Source organism: Homo sapiens, chromosome 3, assembly GCF_000001405.40.
Source record: "Homo sapiens chromosome 3, GRCh38.p14 Primary Assembly".
NCBI lineage: Eukaryota > Metazoa > Chordata > Mammalia > Primates > Hominidae > Homo > Homo sapiens.
The window spans coordinates 133,033,850-133,047,927 of NC_000003.12; the positions used below are offsets into that span (position 1 = coordinate 133,033,850).

The window sequence follows — 14,078 nt, forward strand, 5'->3', positions numbered from 1 at the left end:
CAACCCATACCATGTAGCCCTAGATTTTACTCATAATCACTATAACAGAGTTGAATACTATGATTGATTATCTGCCATATGTACAGGAGGAGGGAGGAATGGCATATCATGCATTTGCAATTTTTCAATTCTGGTCTTTGCCCCACCTTTCAATCATCATTTTTTCCCCTTCTCCTGTTAAACCCAGTTAAATAACACTACTTTCTCTTTCCCAATGCTCTATGCTCTTATGCTTTCATGTGGGCTGTTCCCTAGGCCCAGAACACCCTTTCTTTTGCCCTTTGCTGGCATCTTAGTCCATTCGGGCTGCTATAGCAAAGTGCCATAAGCTGGATGGTTTATAAACAACAGAAATTTATTTTCACAGGTCAAGAGGCTGGAGATCAGGGTACCAGCATGGACAAGTGCTGGTGAGGGACTTCTTCTGGATGACAGTCTGCTGACTTCTTATTGTATCCTCACATGGCAGAGAGCAGAAGCAAGTCTCTGGAGACTTTAAAAAGGGCATTAATCCTATTCATGAGGGCTCTACCGTTACAACCTCATCTAATCCTAATTACCTCCCAAAGGCCCCACCTCCCAACATCATCCACTGGGGATGGGAGGTTTCAACATATGAATTTTGGGGAGAAACAGTCCACAACACCTGGTTAACTCCTACAACTCCGGAATTCAGTTCACGTATAATTTCTTGCAGAAAGCTTTCCCTGATTTCATCAGTCAGAATTGGTACTCCATCTCTACGCGATCTTACAGTGTTATGCGCCTCGCTTGTAACATAAAAGTTTTTATTTTGAATTGTGGTAGCTTACCTCTCTTAAAATGAGCTAAAAGACAAGGCTCATGTAGTGTGTTGATTGAAAGAATGAAACCTGAATCCTTACCTCATCTCTGCTCCAAACTGTTGTTTTCTGAAGCTTACCTGCTTCCCACGTCCAGTTTGTAATTGTTAAGACACAGGTTTTGAACCACAGGTGATTTCCAGCTTTCTTAGCTTTTTCTTATATCAGTTTGGAATGTCCAAACATTTTATTCAGTAAGACTTTTGCCCATTTACACTTGTATTGCCTATTACATGCATGAGATAGGTGTTCCTTCCATAAACCATTATCTCTCCTTGGTGAATAAGCTTGCAAATTTTGAAATCTCCATTTAAAAAAAATCAGCTTGTTGGGAGGGGCACATGAGGTCTTCAACTGTATGTATAATGCTTGATTTCTTAAGTTGGGGGAGGTACAGAGAGGTATATATTATCTACACATATTTTAAGTCTAAATTGTTTTGTGAAAATATAAAAGCGAATATTAATATTCTTAACATTCGTTATAGAGAATATAAAGAAAACCAAGTTTTCTACAAAAATGCCTTGTGGTTGGGTTAAATCTGTACACAGTCACAGTAAAGGGATAAAAGTATCAGTTATTAAAACACAGATACATAGACACAAAATGTTATCCTGCCAGGATTTGTATGACAGATGGAGACTAGAACCTTGGGTAATCTATCGGTCTTCATGAATGAAATCAATTAAGTTTAGAGAAGCTATTTATTGTCAGAGAGATAAAAAGGTAATTAGCAATTATAAAGCAGTCTATGGGGGTTCTAATAATAATACAACAATGGGTGGATTTCTGGGACTTGGCAAAATGGTGGATGGCTTATATCTTATCTTTTTCTTTCTTTTCAAATATACCTAAATCTCTTGCTGGGCAATTTCTGGACTAAGGGGTAGGAAACCTGGTTTGAGCTAACTCATATCAAGTTACTAATATATCCATTTCCCAAGACAGGAAAACCAGGTTATATGTATGAGGCAAGTAGACTGAAAAACAGAGGATGAACGACAGCCTGGATTTTTTTTTTCAAATTCACATCCTCAAGCAAGAGTCTTTGTTTCTTGTTGCTTCTTTCTGTAATAATGACACCCACAAAGAGAAAAATAAATGCTTTTTTCCTAGTTAAAAATTTACATTACTCAGTTAAGTAGCAGTGAAAACTGTCCTTGTTTTACTCAATAGATAAAGCAAGTTTACAAGGTGAGAAAAATTTCTCCCCCATTTGAATGCTGTGAAATATATTTTTAAAAGTGTCACAGAAGGAGGGAAGCTAGTTTGCAGGCTCACACATTGGGCTTCCATATTTCTGGTGTCACAAATAAAGTCACTTTTGAGTAGGATGGCTGGTGTTGGTAGAATGTTCTGAGGGATCTCACTAATTTAGTTAAAATCTAAGTAGGTCATATTCCACTACATTGAATATCACACCATAAAAAAGTTGTACAATAGTTTTCCAAGGTGCAGGCACTAATCACTTTTAAAAAGTAACAGAATTTGGTAAAACGCCAGTAAAGAGAATTGGGAACCCTTGGAATCTTTGAAATAGACTCACCTAGGTGATGGGTTGCTAGGTGCAGCAAACCACTATGGCACACGTTTACCTTTGTAACAAACCTGCACATCCTGCACATGTACCCCGGAACTTAAAAAATAAAAAATAAATGCTCAAATGGAAATCTGTTTTAGTTAAGAAGGGCATAAAACAAGTAAAGCTATTACCAGAGAGTTTATCAGTTTGGCATGGTTAACAAAAGGCAATACGTTCTTTTAGAAATATTTAGTTAATCAATTGAAATTAAACCTAGTTGTGAACCTAGCTTTTCAATTTATTCCATTGACTAGTCTTTGGAGTATTTATTACCTATGAATTATTTTTGGCCTTTAAAAATCAGTTCTCAAAAATTATGTGGAAACTTTCTTCTGTTTTCAGAGTGTGTATGTCATTAGTGATTTGTGTTGCAGAGTTTAGTTTTCCCTGTTAAAAAATGCGTCTATCGATCTAGCAGCTTATGCAGGTGTTCTCAAGCATGGATGGATATCAAATTGCCAGTAGAACTTTTTAAACCTATAGCTGCCCAAGCCCCACTTCTCATCCCAATCAGAATCTCCAGGCACAGGGCCCCACAACCTACTTCCATAAATACTTACCATCCAGCTAGGCTTGAGAACCACTGGTTTAATGACAGCAAACAAACTTTTTTTGAGGCTTTCAAAACATTTTTCTTGCTTAGACATTTCTTTACTCCTGCTGTAGCCAGAACCATTGCTGTGACAGGTTTAACATGTTCCCAGAAACTCTGAATTTTGTGCGATGCCATCTCTGATAGGGACAATGTGATGAACAATGTCTGAGATTGCTAGGTGGGCTTCACTTCTGGGGATGAGAAGCCAGAGAAGTTCAGGACACACTGACAAAGGTGAAGTTTTCTCTAAGCGACAGTTTGATCACCTTGATAGTGAGAGAGAAATGCTGAAGCAGGGTTATACCACCTGGTTTCAAGAGATGAGAGATGAAGGTTTTGGAGAATTCAGCACTTAAGAATCTTGAACCACGGCGGTACACTACTGGGTAATAAGAGCTTGGCTACGCTGAACGACAAAGGTTCTAGCTGGCCAGTCCGAAAACACTGAGTCCTTAGGTCAAATTTGAGAAATGACAGGGCCAGTGGGAGTCCTAACTTCTAGACTCTGGAATTACTGACAGAAGAATATTTGGACAGTTTTTAAGACCCTCAAGGCATATTATTTTACAACCTCTTTAGCTTATGCCTGAATTTGTGCTGTGACTGTTAGCTTCCCGGATGTTTTCTCCACATGCTTCTTTCTGAACTAGCCTGTATAGTTCTACAACAAATTGTTACGTTTTGAGAAGCAGGGACCACTTATACCACTTCTCTGGCCAAGTGTCTGGCACCGCGCCACTCAGACACACACGCCCAACCCTTTAGGATTAACGTAGACACAGTGTTCTCTTCCATGGCCATTCCGTCTCCACTTCTGGTTCCACACTCCAGTCACCAAGTTGGCATGATTGCTGCTCCATAGACCAAGGGTGGGTAATGTGGGGATTAAACACACCTTCCCTCAGCTGGTGCCCAAACTGTAAGCATCACCGGGACACCCCATGTAGCCACAGGAACGCTTCTCATCAGTGGAAGAAGGACAAGAAAGGTCGTGCAAGTTTCAAATTACGTGGAGCTGGGGCTACAGCCATTACTTTCGGACAGGTGCAATTCAAAGCGTGATCCTCCGACCAAGAGCTTCGTCATCGCCACCTGGGAGCTTATTAGAAATGCAGGATCTCAGGTCTCCACCCCAGACCTTCTGGATCAGAATCCGCATTTTAACAAGAGAGTCAAGTGATTCTTATTTATATTAGAATTTGAGAAGTCAATTGATCTGGTAATTGATCAACTGAGTGCCACTTAGCCCCCGAAAACAGAGACCCTTTGTGCCCGCCTCGCACCCGCTCTGCTAGGTAGCAACCGAACCCCCAGAGACATCGGAGCGGGCGCTGCCGAGGGCAATTTGGTGATTGGCTGGTCTCACCACGTGACCGGCGCTGAGCCTTCCGTGCGACCGGATTGGCTGTCGCGGACGCTGACGGACAAGGCCGGGGCGGGCCAGAGCCTGGTCGGAGGGGCGCGCGCGGGGGCCCGAGGGGCGAAGGCGCGAGTGCGCGAGAGCGCGTGCGCGAGCGGTGGGGCTTTCTCCTGAGCCGTCGGAGGGAGCCGGAGCGCTTCTCCCGAGGTAAGCGGCGCTCCGGGGCGTCCCCCCAGTCCTTCCCATGCTGGGTCCCGGCAAGCGGGTTAGGCTGGGCTGGGCGGGGCTCGGGGAGGTGTGGGGTCAGCTTGCCCCGGGAGCCCAGCTTCAGGGAGGATGCAGCCCCGGTTGCCTTGGTTTCCCTTTTCCTATCCTCTCAGGCACCTTCCCATCCTCCCCACTGCGTGACGGGTCTGCCCGAGGGGAGTTGCCCACCTGGCAGCCCTGCCTCCGCCTTTGTTTCCCGCCTGGAGGGTTGCTGGCATGAACCCCCTCCCCAGGTGGAGGGTGCGGGTGATGGGGCGCGGGCGTCAGGAGCGCTGGACCTGGGCTGGGGCCGAGGAGGAGGTGGCTTTAATGCAGGGGGACCTGTCACATGGGGAAACGAAGAAGAAGAAATGTAGTGTCACTTTGGCCAGCCCGAGGGACTCGAACTAATCCTGCGGCCGCGAGCGGAGCCGAATTCCTAGCGCAGCTGTGCGAAGAGCCCTCCTGCCTAGGTGCCGGCGGCCTCGCCGGGGACGGAGCCTCCGTGCTGCCCGGGAGGTTGCTCTGCCGGCTGGACCTGGCGGTTTTCACCCCAGAGTTGCAGCGAAATTGAACGCTTTGAGCCTGCTGGAGGAATCCAGAGATTGGTTCAGGGGCTATTTTTTTTTTTAAGCAGTTGGGCACCGGTGGAGCCGGTCTAAATGAAAGTCTACAAAAACCAATTTCAGATGCAGCGTAACTGATGACTGGTAAATGGTGAGGAGGGAAATGCCTGCAGTGAACTGCAGACCACCACACTGAGATTCTTCCTTAAGAAGATAGGGGTTTTTTTCGGAGGAAAGGTTGTAGTTTCTGCAAACAGGTTTTTCTGGGGGTACCCAGGAAGGTTATTACTTATTTTCAGCATGTTACTGGGTTGTGGGGAGAGGGAAGGCAGGGTCTAAACTAAACCTACTCACACGTCCTTAATTCTTTGAAAAGTGTGTGCTCGATGAAGACCATTTGGCTGCCAAAAGAGGTTTGTATGGGAGTCCGGGGGAGATGGATTGTTGCCTTTAAATCATACTTTAAAAAGGGGAAGGTATGTCCAGGAACTTAAGAGCAGGTCAAGCTATGGAAAGTATTCCCTGCCTCTCCTCCATTTCCCCAGACAGCTCATAGGCAAACATAAAAAGTCCCTTCAATTTTCCACGGGTTAACTTCTTGATTTGTTGGATACACCTGGTAATCTACTCTGTAAGAAATGGTTCAACTAACTCATTATGAAGATATTACTGTGTTCTGGACTTTCCACGTAATTTATTCAGAACTCTTTCTGGTATGAGATGGATAAGGGTCTCTCTACCTTGTCCCTTGGAGACATCCTGATACCTTCAAAGCCCTTTATAGCTCTTACATTCCCTGTACAACAACATGTTTCTTTAGGAAATGACCTGATTTCAAACCTCTAAAACACACCCCATGCCTGTGAAATGCCTACACTTGCCAAGAATTCAGTTTACTAGGCAAGATAAATATATTTTTTTAAGAGGGAACACCTAAATTTGTTAGGGGTATCAAATTCAGGTTTATCAGCCACCGGAAATCAAATTTTGTCGGTTTTCTGAGATGAATGAAAGTAAAAGAACAAGTTGCTGCAAAGCTCATTTAGAATATCACAAATGACCCTAGTAAAGTGAAATATAGGTTGTCACCTGATAGACTTCACACAAACCAAATTAGTGGGAATAATTTAAAAACTTTATCACAGTTTTTTTTGTTTGTTTGTTTGTTTTTTTTTTTTTTTGAGACGGAGTCTCCGTCTGTCACCCAGGCTGGAGTGCAGTGGTGCGATCTCGGCTCACTGTAACCTCCGTCTCCTGGATTCAAACGATTCTCCTGCCTCAGCCTCCCGAGTAGCTGGGATTACAGGTGTGAGGCACCATGCCCGGCTAATTTTTGTATTTTTTAGTAAAGACGGGGTTTCACCAGATTGGCCAGGCTGGTCTTGAACTCCTGACCTCGTGATCCACCTGCCTCAGCCTCCCAAAGTGCTGGGATTACAGGCATGAGCCACCATGCCGGCCAGAAAATTTTTTTTTTTAAGTGGCATGGAGTAGAGGGGAGAAAAGAATGCTGAGGGTGAGGTAGGTGGCATAGTATACACTTTTATTTTCAGAGGAGAGAAATTAATCTTTGTTCCATAAACCGCAAAGGGTATGCATTGTTTGTTTGGCCTGCGGAAGGGAGGCAGGGATTTTGAAAAGGTTGGGAAACACTGATTAGGTTATGCAAGGGACAACAAAAAGATTAACAAGCTTAGTCCATCTAGCAACGTACTTCAGTGACCTATAGGACAAGGTTTTATTCTCTGATTCAATAAAAGCCCACTAGTGTTGCTTTCAAAGCAGCAACAAAATCATTTCCTTTCTGTCGTTTCTGTCCCCTGGGTCAGGGACGGGGAACATAGAGAGTGAATGAGAGAGATTAGAGTCCGACCTGCATGCCTAAGCAGTAGTGTCCTCTGAGGAGGATCTGTGTCACATTGTGTAAGTATAAGAGCCTTCATATTGAGAGGGATCTGAGTACCTTCCTTAGGACACATGCTGTAAGATACAGCTGGATAACAGAGCCACAGGTGGGGGCACTGGGTGAGATCATCTGATAGGGAAGCATTGGGGAAAGAGGAGAGCCAGGAAATGTTTAATTCAGTGGGGCTCTGCTGGCTGCTTTTGGATCCTTGAGGAGGCATTTCAAGGCAGAGCTGCCTCATTGGCTAGCCTGGCTGGCTTTATGTGGCTTCCAGAGGACCTGCCATTCACAAGATGAAAGCTCCTGTGGTAGTTACACGTCTCAGGTTGTAAGCATCAGTTATGCTTGTAATGTGCTTGAGAAAAGAAGGGCTCACAGAGACCTAAATCTAGGCTGCCGTTCCTTCACTTGGCTCATGTCACCCCCCAGGGCTCCCAGAAAACAAGTTGTACCCTCCTTACCAGTAGATGGCACTGCTGCCCCTGGGAATTCCTGGAGGAGCTGAACTATGGAGCTGGCAAACCAGCAGTGTGTAGCCTCTAGTCAGAAGATTTTGAAAGGCTATGTCAGCCCTCAAACGAAATCTCAAAGAAAATAGTTCTGAAAGCCATAACTGTTTACATAAGGTAGGAATAACGTGTGTCATGGGGATTGAGGAATGGCTGTGATTACATTGACTGTACATGTGCGTTTCTGAAGGGAGAAGGCAGAGAGTAAACTGACAAGCATCATAGCATAGGCTTTAAACGCACCCGGCATATGTATTGGTTAATTAAACATAATAATCATGATTTGATCCAACTTTCCAACAACTTAATCGTTTCTAATTATTTGCATGTGAAGCTAGTCTACACACATGGATGGGACTATGGAAATATACATGTGACTTTTAAACCTGAACAGTAGCTGGTAAGTACATGCTCTGAAGACAGCAGTGAGAGTATTAGTAAAAATAATGCTGATAAAGTAGTCACTATATTTCAGGGCTGTCCACAGAAGATAGGTCAAAACAATTCTTAATTCGTTTCTTCTAAAACTTGAAAATTCCTAATGTGTTTTTAGATCTTCTTAGTTAATGTGGACCTTTCAATATTATATTAGCAGCCCCAAACTTGTGCTTTGGTTTTAATGATGTTATTAGTCAGGGTTAATTCATCCATCCACCTATTTTGAAATAACTATTCTTTGTTCTCTAGCTGTTATTTACTGTTCTTTGAGATGGGAAGGTTATAGTGTATAATGAGGGCCCCGGCTTTGACTCTGCCTGAGGTATAGGATGCTACCTCTAGGTGCAATTACCCCAGTCACCTGCTGCTTTGTGTAGTTCCCATCCTATGGCTTAGGTTATTTGAGGTTTCTTTCTGTCTCTCAAGTGAACTGATGAGCTTGTCTTTACTACCAATGCTAAATACTAAAATCCTGCTTGTGCTAGGTAGTGGTAGGCCAACAGTCCATTAATGCCATCTTATTATGTGACTAAAAATAAATCTATTCACCTTTCTGAACCTTACTTTTATCACCTGAGATTGATGAGATGGTGGATGTCTCTTAAAATCTCTTCCAAGTCTAAAGTTATATGGTTAGGTGATTCTCATAAGTTATTTCTGAAGACTAAAAATTATTTATAAAATATTTTCATACTGTGAGCTTAGGGCAAAAAGAAGTCTTGCTAATGTTTCCTCCCAGAAAAGTGGTTGTGCATTACCTTAGGATCCTAACAGTTCAGAGTAGGAAGAAACTCTTGAAGATGATTTAACTTAACCTTCTCAATTTATAGACAGCTCAGTTCAGAGTTGAGTTTCTTGACCAAGGTAACAGAGCTAGTTAGTGGCAGAGAACTAGTTAGAGGACTAGGATGCAAGCTCAGGACTCAATATAGTTTTCCCTTCTCCAATGCTGCTTTATTTCATCTGCCATCAGGCCACAGAATATGCTGTGTCTACAGGGCTGGGGCCAAGAAAATTTTCTGAGTAATTCCTTAATGTAGGGCTTTAAAGCAACAGCATGAATAGCTTTGAGTTTTGGCAGAAGTTCAAGGTCAGGCTTCTCTTTGCAGCTCATTCTTTTCTTCACTGATTGATTGTGAGCAGGATTTTTCACTGCGCATCTTTAGGCTTTAAAAACTTTTCTGCATATGCTGTTTCCTGTAAGAAAAAACTTTCATCATCCTAGAAGAATCATTCCTCAATCAGATGTTCTTAAGTTGGGTCCATGGACTCCCCAACATCTCTCTGGATAGGAGAATCTTTCATATAATTCACTTCATTTGTAATCTTATGTATTTGATCTTATACATTTCACACATAATTCTGAGAAGGAGGTCCTTAGGCTTCAAGAGACTACAAAAGAGGTCTGTGGCACACACACACAAAATAGGGTAAGAATTCTGAGTTCTTGTCTGAGGAGCTAAAAGACATTAGGGTGGAAGAGTGTTAGGGGTAAGATATGGGGTAAACTTATTGAAGTTTGTAGGAACATTTTTACCTTTTAAAAAATTGCTCACTAAATGATGCTAATAGCATTTTACCCATCTTAAATTAATAATGTATATGCGAGTATTGATTTCCATTTATCATTCCTTCCTCAATAAGTACTCTTTCCTAATTTTACCAAAACACTTTCAAATTCATGTTGCTTTATTGGCGATGACATGCATACTAAGAGGCTCCCTTCTCCCCCAATCTGACTTGATTTCCAGATGTTCAGTTCCCTTCTAATTCATGACTTGGAGTTTTTGACTTCTGAGGTAGTACACCTCATGTTCAACTCTAGGCTCCTAGGACTCACCATGATCCCAGAGAGGCAAAATAATTTACATGCTAGGAATTAAAAAAAAATCCTTAGGTTCCTTTATTTGTACCCAGGGTTTACCACAGAAATTGCTGCTCCTCCTTGGCTAATTATTTTCCTTTTCTATTTGTAATCCCAAATTCTCACTTTTCCTAATTGTTTCCAAATAAGAGTGACTGGGAGTTTGTATGTATTGGAAATAAAAATCCTTGTTTAAAACATGCAAAATTTTTGAATTTTGAAGAACATTTGCTTGAAAATCTCTTGCTTTGTGTCCTGTGACACCTTGCCTACTTTTGGTGCCATGGTGACCCATGTTGGTGAATTCACCTGCTGGCATCTTTTTGGCTATGTATCTTTTTGGCCAAAGTAATATTTATTATTGCTTTAGTAGAAGAATAGAAATTACCTTTTCTTCTTTAGAAGGTTATATTTGGGTTTATGTAATAACCTAATTATGTTATGTAATGTCAATTTTCTGCATTCTAATCTCAGTATATTGCTGAGTTATTTTGAGATTTTGGGGGCATGATTGATTTCTCTGAGCTTGTTTCCTTGTTTGGAAAATAAGGGGAGAGAGTAGGAGAGTCGTGACTACTTTGTTTCCTGTTCCAAAATCCTGTGACTCTAAGAAATTGTACCTGGTACCCAGACTAAACATATCCTAAAAAATGCTGCCTAATTGGGAATTTATTTATAATCAATTAGTGCCAGGATAATAATTCTTTATATCTGCAAATCATTTTATGGTTTTCAAAAATGTTCTCTAATCCTGTATCTATTTTCTACTCAAAATGCCAAAGGACAACAGCATCAGTATTATGTGGGAGCTGGTTAGAAATGCAGAATCTCTGGCTTCACCCATGACCTAACAAACCCGAACCTGCATTTTTATCAAGATGCCTTGAGGATGCACATGCACCTTAAAGTCCAAGAAGTTGGTGGCTCGTGCCTTTGAGAAGAAGCTGGTGCTTTGAGAGGCTGAGGCAGGAGAATTGCTTGAGGCCAGGAGTCTGAGACCACCCTGGATAACATAGTGAGACTCCATCACTATATACATTTAAGAAAAAATTAGCTGGGCCTGGTGGCACATTTCTGTAGCCCTAACTACCCAGGAGGCTGAGGTGCGAGGATCACTTGAGCTGAGGAGTTTTAGGCTGCAGTGAGCTGTGATCACACAGTACATAGTGAGACCCTGTCTCTTAAAAAAATTCTGAAGTGCTGCTTTTTTTTTTTTTCTTTTTTTTTTGAGACGGAGTCTCATTCTGTTGCCCAGGCTGGAGTGCAGTGGCGTGATCTCAGCTCACTGCAAGCTCCGCCTTCTGGGTTCACGCCATTCTCCTGCCTCAGCCTCCCGAGTAGCTGGGACTACAGGCACCCGCCACCATGCCCGGCTAATTTTTTGTATTTTTTAATAGAGACGGGGTTTCACCATGTTAGCCAGGCTGGTCTTGATCGCCTGATCTTGTGATCCGCCCACCTCAACCTCCCAAAGTGCTGGGATTACAGGCGTGAGCCACCGCACCTGGTCCTTTTGAGTCTTACATTGGCCCTATGAGAGAGGAACAGTATTTTACAGTTGAGGAAACTGAGACTCAGAGTAGTTAAGTAACTAAGTCAAGGTTACTGTGCTAGTGTCTCACTCAGAACCCTCTACTCTAAACTTAATGCTGTCTTTCTTCATGATTGGGCTGAAGTCACTTTTGTACAATGGAGTCTGGTCACTGCCCTGCAGCCCATAAGGTTAAGTGTGACTGTGTAATTGAGTTTTAGCCAACCAACAGAATGTGATGGAAGTGGAAAAGTATTGTGATCCACTTCTAGGAAAAAAAGCACAGAGAATGCTCATGCAAGCTTCTTCATACTGTTTTCCATTCTTAGCTGACTGGAATGGAGAGGACCCATAGGGCAACCTTGGAAATTATGTTTTAAACATGGCAGGACTTTTGTCAGCGTGGGTACCTGGATCACTGCATTAGGTCCACCCCACCTACATATTCACCTGTCCAGTATGCATACATGAATCAGAAATAAATTTTTATTGAACTTGAGCTATTATACATGTTTGGGTAAGCACTTAGTCTACTCTCATATTCACTTCAGCAGTGACTTGGGACTTGAAGTTCCTTTGGCCTAATGCATTTTTTCATTTTCATCTTTGCCAGTTGGTGATAGATTGGTGGTCATCCAACATGCAGAAATGAATGAGCAGTGAAAAGCAGCAGAGCCGATGGGTCATGAGGATGTAAGTGCGTTTGAAGGCTTCCACACCCTCTACTCCAGGGTAAGGCAAAGGCATTCTCTGCCATTGTTTTTCTTGCTTTTCCAATTCATAGAGGCTATTGTCTCACCTGTCTCTTGGAGTCAGTGCAATATGATGCCCTGTCTGTGAAAGGCTCCTAAAAGCCTTTATTGATTCAACTCATAGATACCATGCAAATCAGCAGTTATGAAGAGAAAACCATGACCGAGGTGATGGGATGGAATCTATGCATGGAAATATTTCAAAACAGGAGTTTTTAGTGAGTTCGTTTAGGGTGTGATTTATATGGGAGGGGCTGTTGAGCCCTCTTGAGGTGCACTGTAAAGATGGGAACAGGGCCTGATTATCATTTCCTTATAGCCATGTCATATGTTAGCTCTGGTAGCTCCTGTTTCCCTCACCTACCACCTTCTTTCTTCTTTGATTACTCTGCTTAACTTTTGCTTCATTAATCACTTTTTTAGTGAAGGAAATAACTTCTCAAAGTGTTGAAAATTCCAGATTTGGTGTATAATAGCACTAGCAAAGTACATGGTTTTGCCTGTTCCATTTTATTTTATCCAGCATCACTGGAAGTCACATGCCCATTCATGCCTCATCTATTTGCAGCCCCTAGTACAATGCATGTGGGCACTGGCAATGTTATAACCAAAACTGGTTTTGAATTTTCACTTGTGCTGCAGATTTTTGAGACCAGAAGGAGAAATTAACTGTTTGGTGTGGAAAGGACATCACATCCTTTCTGAGCTCTCCAATTTCTAGAGCTTAAACTAAAACCAGCCTCCTTGAAGGGAAAATTATGATTCATATAAATATAAGAAAAGCTGAGGATGGTTAAGAATGAGGGATAGGAGGTTAAAGAAACATACTTAACTGAAGGGTTGTTTTAAGCAGCTTGGCTCAATACTGCTGAACCTTTGCTAGATAATGTCCCATTATCCAGGCTCAGACAGAGGGCACCCAGAAAAGGCTGGTATCTTTCGGGGCCTCATGTGGCTCAGTAATGAGTACAATTTACTGAACAAAATAGACAATTAGAGGATGGAGATCTCTGGAGATTCCAATAAATGTACATCATTATTGCTCTAAAGTGATGCACATGCTTGGAGATAAAGCAAAGAAAGGGCAGCTGCAAAGTACGTCAGCAGAAGAGTCCAGGTGAGCAGCCCGATGCAGACTATAGCTCAGCACCTGGAGGTAGCTAAGAAAAGGAGCTGGTCTTTTCTAGATTTTCTCATTAAAAGAAAGGAGCTGGTCTTTGCTAACTTTGCTCAATTTCCTCTATATCCTGTATATCCTGTATTTTAAAAGTATATCCTGTATATCCTCTATTTTAAAAGTAACTAAAAAGTATAGCATGTCAGAAATAGCACTTGGCTGGTATGTTGCTGTGTAAATACTATACAAGGACTACATTGTGGAGGGAGCCATTCTTTAATTATTGATTTGGGGTCAAATAAAGTAATGCTAGAGATGCCAGTGGACCAGAGTTAGTTTCTCAACCTTACACTATTTATTGACACTTTGAGCCAGGCAATTCTTGTGTGGAGTGTCCTGTGCATTGTAGGATGTTCAGCAGTGTCTTTGACCTCCACCCACGAAATGCCAGTATCTCCCTCCCTGTTTGTGACAATCAGAAATGTCTCCAGACATTGCCAAATGTCCCCTGGAGAGCAGAATTGCCCCTGGTTGAGAAACACTGCTGAAGGGATATAGTGATTCAATCTTGCTCTGAATTTCTCTGGTATCGTATTTTAATCATTTAACTTCATTTTGTTTCACTTTCCCTATCTGTAAAATATACACACATAAATAGCTAAATAGTCTAATGAAGTAATGTACATAGTACTGTGTGACTCCTTGGGGGCTCTGTCATTTCTAAGAAGCGATATTCGTCTTCCCAAATTTCTAGGACCCAAGGGTAATTC

General features: G+C 42.3%; 1 protein-coding gene across 2 annotated transcripts in view, besides 2 other annotated features; it reads left to right on the plus strand.

The window, feature by feature from the left end:
- Nucleotides 4,236–4,530: an enhancer, noted in NCBI's record as "tiled region #13907; HepG2 Activating non-DNase unmatched - State 22:ReprW, and K562 Activating non-DNase unmatched - State 4:PromP". NCBI's record gives its function as "activates a minimal TATA promoter and a strong SV40 promoter by Sharpr-MPRA in HepG2 and K562 cells {active_cell/tissue: HepG2 | K562}" and the evidence as "EXISTENCE:reporter gene assay evidence [ECO:0000049][PMID:27701403]".
- Nucleotides 4,542–14,078, plus strand: part of TMEM108 (transmembrane protein 108) — a 359,385-nt gene continuing 349,848 nt past the window's right edge. For both annotated transcript variants that reach the window (NM_023943.4, NM_001136469.3), the window contains exons 1-2: nt 4,542–4,586; nt 12,053–12,171. The gene's annotated coding sequence lies outside the window, so the exon portion shown is untranslated. The remainder of the gene's footprint in view (nt 4,587–12,052; nt 12,172–14,078) is intronic.
- Nucleotides 7,416–7,710: an enhancer, noted in NCBI's record as "tiled region #9074; HepG2 Activating non-DNase unmatched - State 12:CtcfO, and K562 Activating non-DNase unmatched - State 12:CtcfO". NCBI's record gives its function as "activates a minimal TATA promoter and a strong SV40 promoter by Sharpr-MPRA in HepG2 and K562 cells {active_cell/tissue: HepG2 | K562}" and the evidence as "EXISTENCE:reporter gene assay evidence [ECO:0000049][PMID:27701403]".